General features: G+C 44.4%; 1 long non-coding RNA gene across 1 annotated transcript in view; it reads right to left on the minus strand.

Moving 5' to 3' along the window:
* Window positions 1–24,296, minus strand: part of LOC105371114 (uncharacterized) — a 39,276-nt gene that overhangs the window by 7,173 nt on the left and 7,807 nt on the right. Inside the window, exon 2 of the long non-coding RNA NR_188657.1 lies at window positions 6,182–6,248. This is a non-coding gene — a long non-coding RNA (uncharacterized LOC105371114). The remainder of the gene's footprint in view (window positions 1–6,181; window positions 6,249–24,296) is intronic.

Raw genomic sequence — 24,296 nt, forward strand, 5'->3', positions numbered from 1 at the left:
CCAACAACCACTTTTCCAGCTCTCTCAACTGGGTATTCTACAATTCAATCCAATTCTGACACTAACAACCTGGAGCTGGCATCAGACTCCACTGGCTTAAGGACTTAGTCCCACAAGAATGGCCTCGCTTCAGATGCAGGTCATAAGTACTGGGTGCTCAGGGAACCCACACTTCTGTCCAACTTGGCCACAAAGTCAAGGGTTCCCACAACTCCTCCTCTTTCAGGTTTGATGTTTTGCCAGAACAGCTCACAGAACTCAGGAATGCTCTTTTTTTTTTTTTTTTTTTAACAGGGTCTCACTCTTGCCCACACTGGAGTGCAGTGGTGTGATCATAGCACACTGCAGCCTCAACCTCCCAGACGCAAGTGATCCTCCCACCTCAGCCTCCCAAGTAGCTAGGACTGCAGGCGTGTGCCACTGTGCCCAGTGAATTTTTTTTTTTTTTTGAGAAGGAGTTTTGCTCTTGTTGCCCAGGCTAGAGTGCAGTGGCGTGATCTCGGCTCACTGCAACCTCCGCCTTCTGGTTTCAAGCGATTCTCCTGCCTCAGCCTCCCGAGTAGCTGGGATTATAGGTGCCCACCACCACGCCTGGCTAATTTTTGTATTTTTAGTAGAGACAGGGTTTCACCATGTTGGCCAGTCTGGTATCGAACTCCTGACGTTGTGATCTGCCCACCTAGGCCTCCCAAAATGCTGGGATTACAGGCATAAACCACCATGCCCAGCGAATTTTTTTATTATTTGTAGAGACAGGGTCTCACTATGTTGCCCAGGCTGGTCTTGAACTCCTGGCCTCAAGCAATCCTCCTCAGCCTCCCCAAGTGTTGGGATTACAGGCACGAGCCACCATACGCAGCCAGGAATGCTCTTTGTGTACTATTACTGGTTTATTGTAAAGGATAAAGCTCAGAAACAGCAAAATAGAAGAGATGCCTAGGGCAAAGTATGGGGGTGTTGGCTGATGTAGACCTTCCATGCCCTCTCTGGGTGCACCACCCTCCCAGCATTTTGATGTATTCATGAATCCAGAAGCTCTCCAAGCCCTGTGGTTTAGGAGGTTTCATTTCATAGGCGTGATTTGTTAAATCATTGACCATTGGTGACTGAAGTCAATCTCGAGCCCCTGGGATGTTGGAGGTAGAGCCAGAAGTTCCAATCCTCTAATCCTGCCTTGGTCTTTCCAGTGACCTGCCTCATCTGAAGAGATGTAGGGGCCCCCAGTCACCAATCATCTCATTAGCATATAAAATACACCCATAGGCAGGTGTGGTGGCCCGCACCTGAAGTCCCAGCTACTCTGGAGGCTGAGGCAGGAGGATTACTTGAGCCCAGGAGCTTGAGGCTGCAGTAAGCTATGATCATGCCACTGCACTCCAGCCTGGGCGACAGAGCGAGACTCCATCTCAAAAAAAAAAAAAAAAAAAAAAAAACACCCTTATCAGTCCAGAAATTCCAAAGGTATTAGGAGCAATGTGCCAGACACCAGGGACAAAGACCAAATATATCTTTCTAAGTATGCCTCAATATCCATATTAAATGTTTCATCTAAAAGTTTTCTTTCCATCATTTATATTAATATCTTATAAGAAATACTCAGAACTATAACATCCAATTAAGCCATTTTAACTCTATGTCAATTTTTTTTGACGTTGGTCAAGTTCAATGTCTGGATGTAGTAGGTTCCAATAAAAATATACTAAGTGGGGCCAGATGTGGTGGCTCACACCTGTAATACCAGCACTTTGGGAGGCCAAGGCAGGCGCATCACTTGAGGTCAGGAGTTCAAGACCAGCCTGGCCAACATGGTGAAACCCCATCTCTACTAAAAATACAAAAAAAAAAAAAAAAAAAAAAAAAGCTGGGCATGGTGGCGGTTGCCTGTAATCCCAGCTACTTGGGAGGCTGAGGCAGGAGAATTGCTTGAATCCAGGAGGCAGAGGTTGCAGTGAGCTGGGATTGTGCCACTGCATTCCAGCCTGGGTGACAGAGCAATACTTCATCTCAAAAAATACACACACACACACACACACACACACACACAAAGTGGGTGAATAAATGAATATAAAGAATGATTATAGCATCAGTGGCGGTGAGGGGAATGTGCAGCCTGGAGAAAAGGGCAGCAAGTCTGTAAACAACCAGAGAAATATTAGGGCAAAGAAGAAGTAGGTGTATTTTGGCTTGACCCAAAAGTCAGAACTAGAGCTGTACTGTGGAATTTATACAGAAGCAAATTTTCATTTAGACTAAGAAAAACTGCAAACAATTAGAGCTGCCCATCGCTGGAAAGGGCTGGCTGCCAAGAATAAGAGCTCCATTACCGAAGGCATTCTTGCAAAGACTGAATGGCCAAGCCTGGGCAACACAGTGAAACCCTGTCTCTACAAAAAAAAAAAAAAAAAAAAAAAAAATTAGACTGCGCACGATGGCTCATGCCTGTAATCCCAGCATTTTGAGAGGCCTAGGTGGGTGGATCACGAGGTCAGGAGATCGAGAACGTCCTGGCTAACATGGTGAAACCCTATCTCTACTAAAAATACAAAAAATTAGCCGGGCATGGTGGCACACGCCTGTAGTCCCAGCTACTCAGGAGGCTGAGGCAGGAGAATTGCTTGAACACGGGAGGTGGGGGTTGCAGTGAGCCAAGATCATGCCACTGCACTCCAGCCTGGGTGACAGAGCAAGACTCTGTATCAAAAAAATAAAAAAATCAATAAAAAATTAACCAGAAGTGGTGGTGCACACATGTGGTCCTAGCTACTCGGGAGGCTGAAGTAGGAGGATCGCTTGAGCCTGGGAATTTGAGGCTGCAGTGAGTAGTGATCACGCCGCTATACTCCAGCCTGGGCAACAGAGCAAGACCCTATCTCTAAATTAATTAATTAAAAATTGTAAAACACTTGACTGGGCACGGTGGGTCACACCTGTAATCCCAGGACTTTGGGAGGCTGAGGCCAGCAGATTGTTCGAGCCCAGGAGTTCAAGACCAGCCTGGGCAACATAACAAAACCCCGTCTCTACAAAAAAAATACAAAAATTAGCTGGGCATGGTGGTGCACACCTGTAGTCCCAGCTACTCAGGAGGCTGAGGTGAAAGGATCGTTTGAGCCCAGGAGGCAGAGGTTGCAATTAGCTGAGCTTGTGCCACTGCACTCCAGCCTGGGTGACAGAGCAAGACTCTGTCTCAAAAAAGAAAAAAAATAATAAGACTGAATGGGTATTGGGCAGGGAAGTAGGAAGTTCTGCACTCTGTGGAGGGCATAGTAAGACCGACACTTCTCAAATTTGAATGTGCACAGAGACCTTGTACAGACCGTGATTCAATATGCCTGGGTTTAGGGCCTGAGATTCTGCATTTCTAACAAGCTCTCAAGGAATGCCAGTGCTCTTGGTCTATAGTCCATATGTTGAGAAGCTAAGGATGAGATGAACCAGACTCCCTTAGGACCCCAAAGATTTATGAATCTCCCATCAATGTGTGAAAGCTCCAAGCCAATAGAGACCACGTCTTCCCTTTATATGTTATATCCCCAATACCAAGCATGGTGCCTGGCACATAGTAGGTGCTCAAAAAATGTTGTTGAGGACCATGGACTATGCAGTCATAAAAAGGAATGAGATCATATCCTTTGCAGCAGCGTGGTTGGAGCTGGAGGACATTATCCTAAGCAAATTAATACAGGAACAGAAAACCAAATACCACATGTTCTCACTTATAAATGGGAGCTAAATATCAAAGTTTGCATGGACACAAAGAAGGGAACGATACACACTGGGACCTATTGAGGGTGGAAGGTGGGGGAGATGACTGAAAAACTACCTTCCGGGTACTATGCTTACTAGCTTGGTGGTGAAATAATCTGTACACCAAACTCCCATGACATAAAATTTACCCATGTAACAAACTCACACATGTACTCATTGAATGTGAAATGAAAGGTGAAAGAAAAAAAAATGTTGAGGAATACTCCTCAGCAATAAAAAGAAACTAACTGAGTAATAGAAGCTGCTCTCAAAAGTTCATCTGCCACATGATCATATCTATAGGACATTCTTGAAAAGACAAAGCCATGACACAGAGCCTGTGAGTGTTTGCCAGGGGTGAGGGGTGGGGGGAATGTAATGATAAAGAGAAAGCATGATGGAGTTGTGGGGACGACACAACTGTTTTGTATTCTGATGATGGTGGTGGTTTCAGAAATCTATACATGTCTTAAAATTCACAGATCTGCACACCAGTCTGGGCCTGGTGGCTCATGCCTGTAATCCCAACACTTTGGGAGCCTGAGACACAAGGATTGCTTGAGCCACGGAGTTCAAGACCAGCCTGGGTAACATAGGGAGACCCCATCACCACAAAAGTAAAAATTTAAAAATTAGCTAGGTGTGATGGTGCACACCTGTGGTCCCAGGTACTTGGGAAGCTGAGGTGGAGGAACATTTGAGCCAGTTGTGTTGAGGCTGCAGTGAGTTGTGATCACACCACTGCACTCCAGCCTGGGTGACATAGTGAGACCTTGTACTCAAAAAAAAAAAAAAAAAAATTCTGCATACCACAAAAAGTCAATCTTACTGTATGATCATTCAAAAAACAAAATAAATATATTGGAAACTAGTAATCATTATTGAAAACAGACATTTCAGAATGACATTAATTGAACACCTACCCCGTGCCAAGCCAGAGCCAGGTACTGAAAATTCAAAGATGAATGAGACAAAGCCCCCACCCCAAACCCAATCCTCATCATTGCTGAAACTGCTCTCTGAAAGTAATTATTCGAGAGTCATAAGGAACAAACAGAGGCTCGGAAACCATCTAAGGTCTTCATCGGTTTGTAATCACCATTGTTTATGCTGGGAATCAAGATAAGTACCGATTACATTCTGGGCATTTGATAGGCTTGGAAAAAATTCCAGGAATGTTGCTCAAATTGCCTTATTTATTAGCCTGTCCCCACTTAACATGTCCACATGTTTGCCTCCAGACTTAACCTTGTAGACTGTCAAATCCATCCAAGGGAAATCCAATTTGCATAATCTAGTCTAGCTGCCAACTGACAAATGAAACACATCCAGCCCAGAGCAGAGAGAATCTTGACTCAGAACTTGTAAAAATTCAAACAACTCAAAACTCTAAAATGCAAAGATCATTTCTGTAGACAATTTGGTGTGTATTCCTCCAGTGCTTTTTTTCTATCCATATACTAAAAAATGTACGTACATTATTTGTTTTACAACAATGTGATCATACTGAATAAACTGTTCCATAACTTGCTTCTTTTCTTCACTTGACAGTACGGACAGTTTTTCATGTCAGTAACAGAAACTGACTTTTTTTTTTTTTGCAAGGGCTGTACAAGTAAACCATTGCTGAAATGTACCATAATTTATTAACTTTGTCCTTGTATTAGTCCGTTTTGCATTGCTGTAAAGGAATATCTGAATCTAGGTAACTTATAGAGAAAAGAGGTTTATTTGGCTCACAGTTCTACAGACTGAACACGAAGCTTGACACCAACATCTGCTTCTGGTCAGGACTGCAGGATGCATTTACTCATGGTGGAAGGTGAAGGAGGAGCAGGCATGTCACATGGCAAGAGAGGGAGCAGGAGAGAATAGGAGGGGTGCCATGCTCTCTTAAACAACCAGCTCTCACATGAACTAATGGAGGGACCACTCACTTATTATCAAAGGGAGGGCATCAAACCATTCATAAAGGATCCACCCCCATGACCCAAATGCCTCCCACTAGGTCCCACCTCCAACATTGGGCATCAAATTTCAACATGAGACTTGTCAGGGACAAATATCCAAGTTATATCAGTCCCTTCTTGGTAGATAATTGCATTACTTCCATCTTTCACTGTTATAAATTCTGTCAGTCAGGATGAGCTAGGTTAGGCTGCTGTAATGAATATTTCAAAGCTTAGTGGCTGAAAATAAGAAAGGTTTATTTCTTGCTCATGATACATCTCCACTGTTGGTCAGCTGGGACTCTACCTTATGTCATCCTCATTCCAAGAACCAGGCTGATGGAGCAGCCATTATCTGGAAGGTGCAGGACAGTGTAGCACAGGAAAAAAGAGAGTTTGACAAGGTGTCTTAGTCCATTTTGTGCTGCTATAACAGAATACCACAGGCTGGGTAATTTATAATGAACAGAAACGTATTGACTCACAGTTCTGGAGGCTGGGAAGTCCAAGATCACAAGACCAGCATCTGGCGAGAGCCTTCTTGTGCACCATCTCATAGCAGATGAGCAAGGAGAAGGTAACAGACAGCCAAAAGAGAGCCCAATTTATTATTTTATAAGGAATCCATTCTATCATTACTCTATCATGAGGGCAGGGCCCCCATGACCCAAACACCTCCCATTAGGCCCCACCTCCCAACACCACCATGTTGAGGATCAAGTTGCCAACACATGAACTTTGGGGGACACATTCAATGGTGGAAGCATCCTGGCCATGCTGGCAGCTGATTAGATGGTACTCACCTAGATTAGCAATGATGGAAGCTAATGTTTTCATTGTTGGGGTGGGAGATTACAGATAAGCAAGTAGAGATGACTAAAATGATCCACGTGGAAACGGATTTGAGTTAGAGACATTAGTACAAAGTCCTGTTTAGTGTACTGTCATTCAGATGGTATATATATATATACATACACATGTATGGAGTTTATTAAGTATTTGCTCACATAATCACAAGGTCCCACAGTAGGTCATCTGCAAGCTGAGGAGCAAGGAGAGCCAGTCCAAGTTCCAAAACTGAAGAACCTGGAGTTTGATGTTTGAGGGCAGGAAGCATCCAGCATGGAAGAAAGATGTAGGCTGGAAGGCTAGACCAGTCTAGCCTTTTCATGGTTTTTTTGCCTGCTTTATGTCGTGGCCACACTGGCAGCTGATTAGATGGTACCCACCCAGATTAAGGGTGGGTCTGCCTTTCCCAGCCCACCGACTCAAATGTTAAGCTCCTTTGGCAATACTCTCACAGACACACCCAGGATGAATACTTTGCATCCTTCAGTCCAATCAAGTTAGCATTTAGTATTAACCAGCACAGAGCTCTTTGGAGAGGCAGCTGATTCTAGGACAGGGCCAGTGTGTTAGTCCATTTCTGCATTGCTGTAAAAAAGTACCCGAGGTTGGGTGATTTATAAAGAAAAGAGGCTTAATTGGCTCATGATTCTGCAGGCTGTACAGGAAGCATGGCATCTGCATGTGCTTCTGGTGAGGACCTCGGGAAGCTTCCAGTCACGGCAGAAGGCAAAGGGGGAGCTGATGTATCACATTGTGAGAACAGAAGCAAGAGACAGAGGGAAGAGCCAGGATCCCTTTAAACAACGAGCTCTCATGTGAACTGAATGAGAACTCACTCATCACCAAGGGGATAGCACTAAGCCATTTACGAGGGATCCGCCCTTGTGATCCAGTCACTTCCCACCTCCCCAACAGGCCCCACCTCCAACACTGGAGGTCACATTTCAACATAAGATGTAAAGGGGACACACATCCAAAGTATATCAACCAGGAAATATAAAAGACAAGCCTGAAGAATCTTGTAGTGCCAGAAAGGAAGGAAATGCACGCACGCGCACACACACACACACACACACACAACCCACAATGGTGGGGTATGCCAAAGGGAGACAGATGCCAACTAAAAGGGTCTCAGTAACCAAAACTAGAATAATCTGAGCAACAAAAAGCCCCCCAAAACATAAAGTTATATTAGATTAGAACTCAAAAGAACTCCTGAGTCCATACTGATACAAATAAATGATTGATCTATTTTTATCTTATTTTTACTTTTATTTTTGACACAGGGTCTTGCTTTATCACCCAGGCTGGAGTGCAGTGGTGCAATCACAGCTCACTGCAGCCTGAAACTCCTGGACTCAAGCAGTCCTCTCGCCTCAGCCTCCCGATGTGCTGGGATTAGAGGCATGAGCCACCAAGCTCGGTTTAAATAAATGATTTCATAAACAAATAAGGAAAACTAGCTCATGGTTCTGCAGGCTGTACAGGAAGCATGGCACTGGCATCTGCTCCTGGTGAGAGCCTCGGGAAGCTTCCAATCATGGCAGAAGGCGAATCACCCATGTGGAAGAATATTCCAAATAATTCATGCAGACACTTTGTCCTCAAGAGTTGGGGGAACATAATGCCTCATTCCTTAAGTGTAGGCAGCACACGGTGTCTTCCTTCCAAAGAGTGCATGCAGTATGGAAAGGGGTGGAGGCAGAGTGAGCGTACAGTGGAGAAACCTGGTAAGCCCAGCCTCAGCCAGGTGATGAAGGTCCACATTAACAGTGACCCGTCACGTTGATGGTAGGCACCCTCGACATGCGATGAGAGAGGCACTTTACCTCTGAGGTCTTCCTCCCAAAACCCCATAACCTCTGCCTAATGATAATAAAGACATAAGACAAAACCAAATTCAGGAACATTCTACAAAATAACCGTCCAGCACTCCTCAAAACTGTCAAAAAGGCCAAGAACAAGGGAAGTCTGAGCGACTGTCACCATGAAGAGGAGCCTAAGGAGATATTAGGACTAAGTACAATGTCATGTTTCTGGATGGGATCCAGGATCAGAAAAAGGACATTACAGAAAACTGAGGACTTAATGCCATTTCTGGTTTTGAGACAAAGTATAACCCATGAATAAAACAGAGAGAAACTAGTGTTGTGTGATTCAGTTGGGGTGCTGCCATCTGCAAGTATTAATAAGAGAAACTCCAGCCAAAAATGGCCTAAGTGTAAGAATCCAGAGCCAGCTGCAGTGGTGCGCACCTGAAATCCCAGCTACTCAGGAGACTGAGTCAGGAGGATTGGATCATTTGAGCCCAGGAGTTTGAGACCAGCCAGGGGAATGTAGTGAGACCCTGTCTCAAAAAAGAAAAGGAAAGGTTGTGGGCTCAGTGGCTCACGCCTGTAATAATCCTAGCACTTTGGGAGGTCTGAACTCCCAGCCAACATGGTAAAACCTCGTCTCTATGAAAAATACAAAAAAATTAGCCAGGTGTGGTGGTGCATACCTGTAATCCCAGCTACTTGGAAAGCTGAGGCAGGAGAATCACTTGAATCCAGGAGGCGGAGGTTGCAGTGAGCCAAGATTACATCACCACACTCCAGCCTCGGCAACAGAGTGAGACTCCATCTCAAGAAAAAAAAAAAAGAAGAAGAAGAGAAGAAAAAGAAAAGGAAAGGAAAGGTCTGGCTCAGTGGCTCATGCCTGTAATCCCAGCACTTTGGGAAGCTGAGGCGGGTGGATTGCTTGAACTCTGGAGCTCGAGACCAGCCTGGGCAACATGGCAAGACCCCATCTCTACAAAAAAATACAAAAATTAGCCAGGTGTGCTGGCACATGCCTGTGGTCCCAGCTACTTGAGAGTCTGAGGTGGGAGGATTGCTTCAGCCCAGGAGTTCAAGGCTGCAGTGAGCTGAGATCACACCACTGCACTCCAGCCTGGGTGACAGAGTGAGACCTTGTCTAAAATTTAGAAAAAAAAAAAAAAAAAAAAAAAAAAAAGAATTCAGGCAGCAGAGAGAATCCAGGGCCAATTGGTTGAGTGGCTTAACCAAGTCAAGCCCTTCCATCTTCATACTTGGCCATTTTTGGGGTCTCCTCCTCTGATTGACCTGATATGGGCACTTCCAAACACTGTGGTCAGGCAGGGATGGAGAGCAGGAGCTGTTTCTTCTTTGTGTGTCTCTTTTTTAAGACTAAAAAAACATTTCCAGAAGCTGCCCAGTAGACTCTGCCTCATTGACCAGAACCTAACACCCCTTGCTAAGCCCAGGCACCACCATAACAGGCTGAGACCAATCAGAATTTGCCCTGCAGTCACACAGGGAGGGCTGGACACAGGGTAAAAATCAGGATTCAGGCTGCAATAAGGGCAGCTGGCTGCTTCAGCACAGTCTTGTGAATACAAGAGAAAATGAAAAGAACAACTCCTTTCATGTGTAATTAGAAAACTAAGGTGAAGCCGGGTGCAGTGGCTCACATCTGTAATCCCAACGCTTTGGGAGGCCAAGGCAGGAGGATCCCTACAGCTCAGGAGTTCAAGACCAGCCTGGGCAACATAGTGAGACCCCATCACTATTTCTAAAACAAGTAAAAATAATTCTAAAAAGGAAAACCAAGTTGAAACTATGTTCCTGTCACCAAAACACACCACTTTCCCCAAAGCCAGATTTTCTCACTAGGTTGGGTTATATGAGGTCCTACCCAAATGCAAAGAGAGAAAAAAATTACCATTTCAAGACCCTTCTAGTCTGAAGACACTAAGTTTCTATCTAGGACGTCAAATTGCTTTGTGCCCTTCAACATATAACCACTTTCTCTTTGAGTTACAATGTATTTGACTGTAAATAAATATGGAAATATGTTTAATTCTGCAATTTTTTATTTTTTTAGAGACAGAATCTTGCTCTGTTGCCCAGGCTGGAGTGCAGTGGCATGATCTCGGCTTACCGAAGCCTCAACCTCCTGGGCTCAAGCAATCCTGCTACCTCAGCCTCACGGCTAGCTAGGACTATAGGCATGCATTACTATGCCCAGCTAACTTTTGTTGTAGTTGTTGTAGAGACAGCTATGTTGCTCAAGCTGGCCTCAAACTTCTGGCTTCAAGTGATCCTCTGGCCTTAGCCTCCCAAAGTGCTGGGAATCGCAGTCATGAGCCATCATCCCTAGCTATCTCCAATTTCTTGAAATTACTGCTTACTGAGTTTTTTTAATATACAAGTGCAACCTTCTAATAACATTTTGTCATCGATATTATTATATTTATTAAAGAGACAGCATAGCTAATTGATTAAGGATGAGACTGTATGAATATAAATCCCAAGTTTACAACAAATCTATTAATAGTAGCAGTGTGACATTAAAGAGATTTATTAACCACTCTAAGCTTCAGTTTCCTTGGTGTATTAGTCTGTTTTCATGGTGCAAATAAAGACATACCTGAGACTGGGTAATTTATACAGGAAAAAGGGTTTAATGAACTTACAGTTCCACGCAGCTGGGGAGGCCTCACCATCATGGTGTGACGCAAGGAGGAACAAGTCACGTCTTACATGGATGGCAGCAGGCAAAAAGAGAGAGCTTGTGCAGGGAAACTGCCGTTTAAAACCATTAGATCTTGTGAGACTTATTCACTATGGTGAGAACAGCATGGGAAAGACTCGCCCCCCGTGATTCAATTACCTCCCACCAGGTTCTTCCCACGACATGTGGGAATTGTGAGAGTTACAATTCAAAATGAGATTTGGGTGGGGACACAGCCAAACCATATTACTTGGTTACAAAATAATAACATTTACTTCTAGGAGAATTATATAAGATGAGGCCTGTGACGTGCTTAAAATGTGTCTGGCACATAATAAATACTCAATAAATGTGAGTCCTTATACACATATGAAAGTCAATATTCGCATCTTTTGCCAGATTGAATCCTCTCTCCTGTCATCATGTGGAGCTGAATGAAAATGATCAGGTGAGGGTGGGAGGAGGTGTGGTAGAACTACACATCCCAAAGATGGACACGTTCTAATTCTCCCAAATTTCTAAGAATATGTTACCTTACATGGCAAAAGAGACTTTGCCCATTTGATTAAGTTATGGATCTCAGGCCAGGTGCAATGCTCACACCTGTAATACCAGCATTTTGGGAGGCCGAGGTGGGCAGATCACTTGAGGCCAGGAGTTCAAGACCAGCCTGGCCAACATGGTGAAACCCTATCTCTACTAAAAATACAAAAACTAGCTGGGTGTCGTGGTGGGTGCCTGTAATCCCAGCTTCTCAGGAGCTGAGGCACAAGAATTGCTTGAACCAGGGAAGCAGAGGTTGCAGAGAGCTGAGATCGTGCCACTGCACTCCAGCCTGGGCAACAGAGCGAGACCCTGTCTCAAAAAAAATTATGGATCTCAAAGTGGGAGATTATCCTAGATTACCCAATTGGACCAAATCTAATAACACAAGTCCTTATCAATAGAAAGGAGAGGCAGAAAAGTGGGTCAGAGAAATGCTATAAGCAAAAGACGCCTCCAGTCACTGCTGGCTCAGAATATGGAGGAGGGGAACACAGTATGTGGAAGTTTCTAGAAGATGACAACAGCCCTTGGCTGATGGCCGGACGGAAAACCAGGGCTCCATCCCTATAGCTGCAAAGGGCAGAATTCTGCCCACAACTCAAATAAGCAGGAAAGGGAATCTCCCTTGTAACATCCAGAAAGAAATGCAACCCTTTGCACACCTTGATTCTAGTCCAGTGAGACAAATTTTGCACTTCTGACCTATAGATATATAAGATAATACATTTGTGAGGTTTTTTTATTCTGGTAAAAAAAAATACCATCTTAACTCTTTTTAAGTGTACAGAACAGTTGTGTTAACTATAGGCACATTGTTCTGCAATGAGCCTCTAGAAGTTTTTCATCTTGCAAAAACGAGACTATATCCACAACAATGCCCTGTTTTCCTCTCCTTCACGCCTCCTGATAATCATTGTTTTACTTTCTGTTTATAAGAGTTTGACAGCCAGGCATGGTGGCTCATGTTTGTAATCCCAATGCTTTGGGAGGCCAAGAGAAGAGCATCACTTGAGCCCAGGAATTTGATACCAGCCTGGGCAACATAGTGAGCTCCCATCTCTACAAAAATTAAAAAATTAGCTGGGTGCAGTGCTGTGTGCCTGTAGTCCCAACTACTCTGGAGGCTGAGGCAGAAGGATCACTTGAGCCCACTGAGCCCAGGAGTGAGCTATGACGACACCACTGCACTCCAGCCTGGCAACAGCGTGAGACCCTATCTAAAAAAAAAAAAAAAAAAAAGGTTGATTAATTTGGATACCTCATATAAATGGAGTCATGCAGTATTTGTCCTTCTGTGACTGGTTTATTTCATTTAGCATATTTCCTCAAAGTTCATCCATGTTGCAGCATATGATAAGATTTCCTTTTTTAAGGCTGAATAATATTCCATTATGTGTATATACCACATTTTGTTTATCCACTCATCCGCTGATAGATATTTAGGTGCTTCTACTTCTGGTTATTGTGAATAATGCTGCAATGAACATGGGAGTACAGATATCTGCACAGATGCTTTTTCAAATATTTTAGGTATATACCCAGAAGGAGGATTGCTGGGGCATATGGTAATTTTTTGAAGACCCTCTGTACTGTTTTCCAGAGTGGCTACATCATAAATTTATGTTGTTTGCAGCCACTAAATTTGTGACAATTTGTTGTGGTAGTGATAGGAAACTAATATTGGGTCTTTATTGATTTTGCTTCTTTTTATTAACGTTTTCTTTTTTTTGAGACAGAGTCTTGCTCTGTTGCCCAGTCTGGAGTGCAGTGGCACAATCACGGCTCACTGCAGCCTCAAACTCCTGGGCTCAAGCAATTCTCGCAGCTCAGCCACCTGAGTAGCTGGGCCTACAGGTGCATGCTACCATGCCCAGCTAACTTTTTCTTTCTTTTTTTTTTTTTTTTGTAGAAACAGGGTCTCACTTTGTTTCCCAGGCTGGTCTTGAACTCCTGGGTTCAGTTCATCTTCCCACCTTGGCCTCCCAAAGTGCTGGAATTACAGGCATGAGCCACCATGCTCAGCCTTTTTTTTTTTTTCCAACCTTTTTGACGTATAACATACACACAGAAAAATGCACCTGTAAGCAAACAGCTTGCTAAGTTTTCACAATTTATCACCTGTAAAACCAGCATCTGGATCAAGAAACAACTCTATGACCCCTCCCCCAGGAGCCCCCTCATACCTGGAAGGAGCCTGTGGGAACTAGCAAGAACCAAGGCCCAGGAAGGTGCAGTAAGTAGCACCATATATTTATTTGGAAAATATCAAGTACTCTTTGAAAATGCTTAATTGATAGAATTGTTGGAGGAAAAGTCATTCCTCTTCTAGGGAAATCCATTTAATGTTTCCATTTTTAATGACTTTTAAAGGGATCTTCAAGAAGGTTTTTCATGTGCTGCAAACAGAAATCATTCCATAAACTTATGGGATTGTTCATTAAAAACGACTTTTAAAAAAAATGTAAACCCACCCCTGCTGTCAATCTTAGGGGGAATGAGAACACAGGTCCAGTTATTGACTGTGGCCTAGCCTCTTCCACCACCTGCTGGTGGATTATGGGAACCTCATCACCATGTGATGCTTGTTTGGGGTATTTTTCATTTCTTCTATAAATACATATTGAACAAATAATATGTGTTGGACACAGTCTTATGTCCATAAACTCAGGATTTGGTAGAGAAGATGGACATCCATTCACATATAATAACTGTAAATTTACGAGTGTAATAAATTCAGCCGTGACAAGAGATCCCCAAGCTGTCTGTTCATCAGATCCCCATAAGAATTTTGTTAGAATAATTTTTACCAAAAACCCCACTCCCAGAGATCTGTGTCCATAGGCCTACTGTGGGGCCCAGGAAATCTGTATTTTCTGTCAGCACCCAACAAGATTGTTGATGCACAGATAAGGATGTCGTAGATCGGTTTGGGGTGGGTTACAGGGAACTTTGAACGTTGAATTAGACTTTAAATGCACTGACAGTAAAATTACAAACAAAGCAAAGATATCAGAGCACCAAGAACCAGTGAATGGAAATCATCAGGTTAGCAAGGCAGTTGGAACTGGAGAAAGTTGTAGAGGGAAGAGGGAGAGAGAAAAGTAAACGGGGAGATTGATTATAAGGCAGGGAATTGGGTTTTATGGAAGAAGAGGGAGAGAAAAAAGCAAGAGAGGCCAGGCACGGTGGCTCATGCCTGTAATCCCAGCACTTTGAGAGGCTGAGGTGGGCGGATCTCTTGAGCTCAGGAGTTCAAGACAAGCCTGGGCAATGTAGTGAGACCCAGTCTCTACCAAAAAAAAAAAAAAAAAATTTAGCTGGGCATGGTAGCATGCGCCAGTAGTCCCAACTGTTTGGGAGGCTGATGTGGGAGGACGGCTTGAGCCTAAAAGACAGAGGTTGCACTGAGCTGAGATCACTCCACTGCACTCCAGCCTGGGCAACAGAGTGAGACCTTGTCTCAAAAGAAAAAAAAAAAAGAAAGCAAGAGAGAAAAAAACAGATTTTCAAAAGCACAGCCCCTTATACCAGGATACTCAATCCCTACCACTGTAATCACTGCATCATGTATACAGTCATGCACTGCGACAATGTTTCCACCAACAACAGGCTGCGTACACAATGATGGTCCCATAAGATTATAATGCTGTATTTTTACCGTAACTTCTCTATGTTGAGATATACAAATACTTCCCGTTGTTTTACAATTGCCTAAAATCTTCAGTACAGGAACGTGCTGTACAGGTTTGTACCCCAGGAGCAACAGGCTATACCATTATACCTATAGCCTAGGTGTGTAGAAGGCTATACCATCTAGGTTTATGTGAGTACACGCTATGATGTTCACACAGAGATGACCTTGCCTAATGACACATGTCTTGAAACAGATCTTCATCGTTGAGCAACTCAGGACTGTACTATAAGGGCTCAAAAGAGTCAAAACAGTAAGCATAACACTCAGGGCCCGGTGTGGTGGCTCACCCCTGTAATGCCAACAGTTTGGAAGGTGGATCACTTGAGCCCAGGAGTTTGAGACCAGCCTAGGCAACATGATGAAACACTATCTCTACAAAAAATACAAAAATTAGTCAGGCATGGTGGTGTGCACCTGTAGTCCCTGCTACTCAGGAGGCCTCCCAGCTGCTCAGGAGGCCGAGGTGGGAGGACCGCTTGAGCCCAGGAGGTCAAGGCTGCAGTGAGCTGTGATTGCACCACTGCACTGCAGCCTAGGTGACAGAGAAAGGCCCTGTGTGTGTGTGTGTGTGTGTGTGTGTGTGTGTGTGTGTGTGTGTGTGTGTATGAATGAACGAAAGAAAGAAAGGAACAAAGACAGAAAGAAACAGACACTCAGCACCCCAGAGCACAAAGCGTGATAAGAAGTGCGATCCAGGATATATATTTTGGAAATGCTCTACCATGCTATGTGCCAAAGTCTGGAAAGTTCCCAAAAGACCACCAGACAGGGACTGGTAAACTAACCAAGGCAGGGACTCACCTGCCATCACCGTCATTGTCTATAAGCACGTGGGTGCTTATAGAAAAGACACATTGAGCAGGGCATGGGCGCAGGCACCTGTAATCTCAGCTACTCAGGAGGCTGAGGTGGGAGGATCCCTTGAGCCCAGGAGTTCAAGATTACTGTGAACTGTAATCTGTGCCACTACACTCCAACCTGGGCCACAGGGCAAAACCCTGTCTCGAAAAGAAATCTTGTGCTCCATGGCCAGTTTGTACTGCTGCCCTGCCTGTTGCAGGCACAAGTCGAAGAGCAAGTCTGAGAGGAACCATAGTACTTCAACTTGCTGACACAATGATTGGGCCAGAGTGTGGTCATGTGACACTCAATGAACCAATCAAAGTCCTTCCCTTGCCTTTTAGAAACAGACTGGGAGACATTTACTGAGCACCTATTTTGAGGGACTTACAAGGTTTCCTTCCAGCTTTGAAATCCACGAACCTATAAAAATAATTCCATTTTTAATTCCCCACTTGGAAACAATGATTTGTTAAGCACTTATTGTATGCTAAGCAATATGATCTATGCATTATCTTTCAACAACCTTACAAGATAGATAATATTTCTGTTTCCATTTCTTAAATAAGGAAAGGTTTCCCAGAAGTTAAACAATTTGCTTAAGGTCAAACAGCTAGAAAGTGCTCAAGTTTGAAGTTTCAATTTCTCTGACTCCAGAGTTCAGAGTCTTAATTAATGGCTAAATTGACTCTCATTGACATAATTATGCTCTGAGCCCATCACTAGTTCATTACAATTTCTTTGAAAATACCATTTTTAATGGCTGTAACTTCTTTTTTATCTTGTGGATGCTGTATAATTTAAGTAACTCCCAGTTGTTGAATAATTAGGACATTCACAATCTTTGCCATTATAATCGGCATTTTGTTCTAAATCTCAGTCAGCAAACTGCAGCTTGTGGGCCAGATTCACTTTGCTGCCTGTTTTGTTGGAACACAGCCACGTGCATTTATTCCCATAGCGTCTATGGTTGCTTTCAAGGCAAAGTGGAGTAGTTGCAACAGAAACCTTATGTCCCACAAAGCCTCAAATACTTACAATCTGACTATTTACAGAAAAGGTTTGCCAACCTCTGTTCTAAATATTTATCTACAATGCTGATTCCATCCTTAGGATAAACATATAGAAAGAGAATCAAGGCCGCGAGTGGTGGCTCATACCTGCAATCCCAGCACTTTGGGAGGCCCAGGTGGGCAGATCGCTTGAGCCCAGGATCCTGGGCAACATGGCTAAACCCCATCTCTACAAAAAAAAAAAAAAAAAAAATTACAAAAATTAGCTGGCATGCACCTGTAGTCCCAGCTACTTGGAAGGCCAAGGTGATAGTATGGCTTGAGCCTGGGATATGGAGGTTGCAGTGAGCCTAGATTGTGCCACTGCTCTCCAGCCTGGGCAACAGAGCCAGACTCTGTCTCAAAAAAAAAAAAAAAAAAATAGAACCAGCCAGGTGCAGTGCTGCACACCACAGTCCCAGCTACCCTGGAAGCCGAGGCAGAAAGATCTCTTGATCCCAGGAGTCTAAATCCAGCCTGGGCAACATAGCAAGAACCCTACCTCTTAAAAATAAATAAATTAATTAAAAATTTAAAAGTAAGACCAGGTGCAGTGGCTCATGCCTATAATCCCAGCACTTTGGGAGGCCAAGGAGGGAGGATCACTTGAGGCCAGGAGTTTGAGGCCAGCCTGAGCAACATAGTGAGACCCTGTCTCCACACACAAAATATATACATATATATATAATTTTTTTAAGATAATAAAAGTTTAAAAATATTAAATTTTTAAAATCGAGACAGGGTCTTTCTCTGTCATCCAGGCTGGAGTGCAATAGTGCAAACATGGCTCACTGCAGCCTTGACCTGCCAGGTTCAAATGATCCACCTGCCTCAGCTTCCTAAGTAGCTGGGATCACAGGCGAATGCCACCACATTGGGCTAATTTAAAAAAAAAATTGTAGAGACAGGGTACCACTATGTTGCCCAGGCTGGTCTTGAACTCCTGGGCTCAAGTAATCCTCCTGCCTTGGCCTCCCAAAGTGCTAGGATTACAGGCATGAGCCACTGCACCTGACCTTAATTTTTTTTTAAAGAGAGTATCAAGTCAAATTACTTTTCAGAAAGTTGATTTCAAGCAACATTGCCACCAGCAGTTTGTTTAAAGGTTTCATATCCCAGGCCTTCCACCTTGGCCAGCCCTGGATGACATTATGCAAATAGAAATTGAGGTATTCCACTGTTTCAGGGGCCTCTGGGGATACAGCAGTGACCAAAATACACAGGTCATTGCCCTCATGGGGCTTGTAATCTATGAAAGGGGTGAGGAGATACAATAAACTGCTTGCCAAGTAAATATGTCATTTGTCAGACGGCAATTGGTGCTATGAAGAAAATCAAAGTGGTTGATTTTCCACCCAAGAAGGTGGAGTGGGGTGCTAGTTTACATAAGGAGTTCAGCATCTGTCACTGATACGATGACATTTGAGCAGAGAACTGAAGGAAGAGCATCCCAGGTGGAGGATAAAGCAAATACAGTGAACATGATATTTTCAAAATTCAGCAGGGAAAATCATTATTTTTAGATCCATAGTAGAGCGGTGCTGGGGAGTATTGAGATAACTTTGTCCAGCAGGTAAGTCCAAAGGTATTTCTGTTTGACTCTGAAGCCCCTTGTACTTGCAGCTGATTTGCTTCGAGATTAGGGTTGGCTAAAGCTAACACTAAAATTAGCTTTCGTTTCCTAAATAAACAGCAGCTGGCAGTACATTTGGGGGTGGAGAGCAGCCTGAAAGAGCAGGGTAACAAGAAAAAAAATTGAGGTTTTCACATTTGCTAAGGAAGGAGAGATGCATATCAGTAACTGAGTCAGGTGATATATTCAAGCCTCCCTGGGTGATGGTGTCTTCTGAAACCATAACATGTTAAAATCCTCACTGTCATCAGAAATATTTTCCTTTCCCTCCTCCTCCTTCATTCAATCACCAAATCCTGTAATATCTCCCTCAGAATGAGCACATGAGGCTGGGCACAGCGACTCATGCTTGTAATCCCAGCATTTTGGGAGGCCAAGGCAGGCATTAGGGCCAGGAGTTCCAGACCAGCCTGGGTAGCATGGTGAAACCACATCTCTACCAAAATATGTATATATATATATATACAAAAATTAGCTTAGCTGGTCATGGTGGCACACACCTGTAGTCTCAGCTGCTTGGGAGGCTGCGGTGGGAGGATCACATGAGCCTGGGGAGGTCAAAACTGCAGTGAGTGATGATTGCACCACTGCATTCCAGCCTGGGCAACAGAGCAAGACTCTGATTAAAAATTTTTTTTTTTTGCTGGGCATGGTTGTGCACACCTGTAGTCCCAGCTACTCAGGAGGCTGAGATGGAGGATCACTTGAGCCCAGGAGTTTGAGGCTACGGTGAGTTATGATTGTGCCACTGCACTCCAGCCTGGATGACAGAGCAAGACCCTGTCTCAAAAATAAAATAAAATAAAAATAAAATGCCAACATGATAATGTCACACTCTTATATTAGTAATGTCTGTTTATTCCCAGCTAGAACTCTCATCTTTGGCTTAAATAGACACTCACAACCTTAGCTCCTTTTCCATCCTTCATTCCTGCCACATCTGCCCCAGATGTGCTCTGCTCCTGCCACACTCACCTCAAATGTAACTGTGGTGGCCAGCATCCAAGATGACCATCAGGGATTATCATCTGGCAATGATGCCCGTGTCTGATCCCTTTCCATGTTGGATGGAGCTAAGCGATCTGTAGGATATTGCAAAAGTGGCAACATATAGCTTCCAAGCATAGATCATTAAAGATGTTGTGTCTTTCTCCTTGCTCTCTCTTGAGCTGCTCTCTTGGGGAAGTCAGCCATCCTGTTGTGAGGACGCTGAAGCAACCCTGTGGGAATATCAGTGTGGTGAGAAACTGAGGCCCCCAGCCAACAGCCATGCGCGTGAGCTGCCTTGGAAGCCTGACTTCACACATCCACCTGATGACTTCTGGAAGCCTGACTCCACGTGTCCACATCTGCTCCATCTCCTTCAGAACTAGGCTGTTGGCCAATGCCCCTGTTTGTGTCTTGCTATTTCACTTGGACTATGACTAGGATTCAGGGGGCAAAAATCACCAATTATGGTGAATTCATGTTTTAGTTGATGCAGCTCCCATCAGCAAGGGCTTTTGCCTTTTTTAATGAAAATACCCACCTGGCATGGTGGCTCACACCTGCACTTTGGGAGGCCGAGGCAGGTGTATCGCTTGAGCCCAGGAGTTCAAAACCAGCCTGGGAACATGGTGAAACCCTGTCTCTACTAAAAACAAACATTAGCCAGTCATGGTGGTGCACACCTGTAGTCCCAGGTACTAGGGAGGCTGAGGTAGCAGGATTGCTTGAGCCCAGGAGGTGGAGGCTGCAGTGGGCCATGAGCATGCCACTGCACTCCAGCCTGGGAGACTGAGCAAGACCATGTCTTAAAAAAAAAAAAGAAAAGAAAGAAAAGGAAAAAAGAAATACCCAAAGCCTGAGCTGACCTGGTGATTCTGCCACCCCTGCAATCCTGATTGAATAATGCAACCCAAATTGGTCATAAATTATTCTCATGTAATTTGAAATCATCTACCACAAGGAGAACAAACACAAAAACTGCATAATCTCACAGCTTGCTGATAAGAACAGAGGGCTTACCAGTGGCAGTGAGGGCTTGGTGCTTGCCCTTGAAAGTGGAGTTCTCATCTGGAATTTCTATAATAGACCCAGAGTCAACAGCCAGGTTCATGCCTGAGGGACCTCAAGGACCATACTGGTTGCTCTGTGAAATGACTACCCCTGGCTTTTGGGAGGTTTAGAGATGACTTGAGCTCTTCATAACTAAAAACATCCATGGCATTTGAGCCTCACCCAATCTCTCAACTTTGTCATTCCCTGGGGATTTAGGGTGCACCGTTGGCTGGGGAACCAGCTGGCTAAAGAGAGAGGCAGTGCACCTGAGACTGTACATGAGCCCGGGCACCTGAGACAGGGAATCTGAGACAGTACTCTCTGTACTTCTTTATCCTCCTCTATAAAGTGATTCTAATAATAGCATCTACCTCTGTAGAAGAAAAAATTATTCAATGGCACATGTTAAAATACGGTAAGGCAGATTTTTCAGGACCATCATGATAGGTATAGGGAACATAGTAATGAAATTTTGCAATGGGAGAGAGATTGGGCTCAGTCTTAAATGGCTGGCCGGCTAAGTGGCTGACTGGGAGGCTGGGTGAGGGGTAGGCTGGGAGGCTGGCCGAGTGGCTGTCTTGGAGGCTTGCCAGCAGGCTGGCTGGCCCGCTGAGATGCTGGTGGGCTGGCTGAGAAGCTGGTCGAGAGGCTAGCGGGCAGTCTTCCTGGCTGAGTGAGAGGCTGGCTGGCTGAGAGTCTGGCTGAGAGGCTAGCTGAGATGTCGGCTGGCTCCGTCTGGGTTGGATGAGGACACTTTGGAGGAGGGAGCAGGAATAAGGAAGATACCCTTACCACCTGCTATCCCCCAGAGCTGGGAGCACCCGGCGCTGAGGGTGGGAGGCGGCAGTGACCGGGCACAGCTTATAGCACCCGGCTCCCTCCGTGCACCCTCGGATGCCAGGAACACCTTCCCTATGAGCACTCCCCATGGCCCTACCGTGGTGGACTGCGGGCCGCAGTCTCTATCTTATCCTCAAAGGTTTTCTGTAGATCTAAAACTGTTCTAAAACAGAAAATTATGTGTGTGGGTAAGTAATTTCCTGGCTCAAAATAAAAGCTATTTTCATTGTGGTTAAGGGTAAGGTCACTGGATGAGAACCTGGTTTCCGATTATTTCCTGTGTGAGCTGGACCACATGCCACAACCTTTCTGAGCCTGTTTTCTCATCCATAAAATGAGGATATAAGACTAGAGCTTAGGTCTCAGGGCTGTGGCAAGAACAATTGCCTAGAGGCAGCCTATATTTCCATCGATAGGAGATGGATTAAATAAATTTTGACACATCTGTGCAGCAATTACCTCTATATGTAGATATATAGAAAATTATATTTATAGAAGGTTTATTATTATTATTATTAATATTCTGAGATGGAGTCTCTGTCGCACAGGCTGGAGTGCAGTGGCGCAATCTCGGCTCTCTGCAAGCTCCACCTACGGAGTTCACGCCATTCTCCTGCCTCAGCCTCCCGAGTAGCTGGGACTACAGGCGCCCGCCACCACACCGGCTAATTTTTTGTATTTTTGGTAGAGACGGGGTTTCACCATGTTAGCCAGCATGGTCTCGATCTCCTGACCTCGTGATTCGTTGGCCTCGGCCTCCCAAAGTGCTGGGATTACAGGTGTGAGCCACTGCGCCCAGCCTATAGAAGGTATATTATGAAGTGAAAAAGCAAGGTGGAAGCTAGACATAGTGGCTCATGCCTATAACCCCAGAATTTTTGGAGGCTGAGGCAGGAGGTTCGTCTGAGTCCAGGAGTTTAAGACCAGCCTGGGCAACATAGCAAGACACCCATCTCTACAAACAATAAAAAAGTAAAAATTAGCCAGGGATGGTGGCACATGCTTGCAGTCCTGGCTACTCAGGAGTCTAAGGAAGGAGGATTGCTAAGCCCAGGATTTCAAGGTTACAGTGAGCCATGCTCATGACACTGCACTCCAGCATGGGTGACAGAGTGAGACACTGTCTCAAAAACAAAACAAAACAAAACAAAACAAAACAAGATGCCAGGTAAGCCACCTTTGGGGTTAAAAAACCAAGAATATATGTGTATATGTTTGTAAATGCATCATACATCTCAGGACAAGGGCAGGGAAAATTTTACTGATTACCCCTTTTTTTTACTAAATAGACATATTACTAATACATGCTCAAATTTTAAAAAATGATCTTTAAGTCTGTGGCACAGAGGAAGTGTCAGGAAATGATGGCTATTTCTATTGTGAGACAATTCCTCCCTCTTCCCTTCCTTACTGGAGGCCACCTCCCCACCCCCAGTCCCAGCCTGCAGATCTGGAAAGGGATGGGTGGAACCCAGTTGTTCCACGTATGGAAGATGGAATGTGATGGAGGCGAGTGGTGACTGTGCAGTGACCTTAGAGAGAAGACCCAGCACTTCCTGCTGGCTGCACCTGGCACCTGGCACCTGGCACCTGGCCCTGACTTGGATCTGCACCTGAGCCAGGGAGACCTCAGTTTTTTTCTTCCAGGAGCAGAAGAATGAACCAGGTTCCTGAAGGAGACTTCCCACTCCCAGAAGAGGAACAATTTTACAGGAATAGAAATTGGATAGTTCTTCAGGAAACAACAGTCTCTTAAATCTCCTGTTTGAAGGAATAGAAGACGACCATTTAGGAGGATGTCTTTGTTCTCAGGAGGTACCTAGAAAAGTAGCTGGGATTGAGGTAGGCTAAAAGATGTCTCCCGAAGATTTCAGACCCTAATCTAAAAAAAAAAGTGTGAACATTACTATGTAGTGAAGAATTACTTTACTCACAGAGAGGTCTATCCCTTTGCCTCCAGCTCCTGGGGGGTGATCTCTAAGCCCCTGAGATGGACATCTTTATTTACCTGGATCCTTGGGTGACATCAGATAATTTAGCAATGTGATTTATGGTGGAGCTTTGTGAATTAGCCAACAAATGTATGATAATTTGTTGCAGCAGTCACAAGAAACGAATACAGGAATGCAGTTTCAAAAAGTCTGTAATTAACTCTCATATGGCTCAGAGAGAAGTAGGAAGAAGCAAGTCTGGTAAAATGTGAACAATTAGTGAACTTACATAAAAGGAATGTGGTTGTCTATTGTACTGTTCTTGCAAATTTTTGTTGGTTTGAAAATTTTCAGAATAAAAGATGGAGGAAGGAATAAAAATACTCATTTAAAACATTACAGTATAGGCCGGGTATGGTGGCTCATGCCCGTAATCAACATTTTGGGAGGCTGAGGCAAGAGGATCGTTTGAGGCCAGGAGTTTGAGACTAGCCTGGCCAACATGGCAAAACCCTGTCTCTACTAAACATGCGAAAATTATCTGGGTGCGATGGCACACAACTGTAACCCGAGCTACTCAGGAGGCTGAGGCAGGAGAATCTCTTGAACCCAGGAGGTGGAGGTTGCAGTGAGCTGTGATCACACTACTGCACTCCAGCC

The sequence above is a fragment of the Homo sapiens genome, chromosome 16 (genome assembly GCF_000001405.40).
Source record: "Homo sapiens chromosome 16, GRCh38.p14 Primary Assembly".
Lineage (NCBI taxonomy): Eukaryota > Metazoa > Chordata > Mammalia > Primates > Hominidae > Homo > Homo sapiens.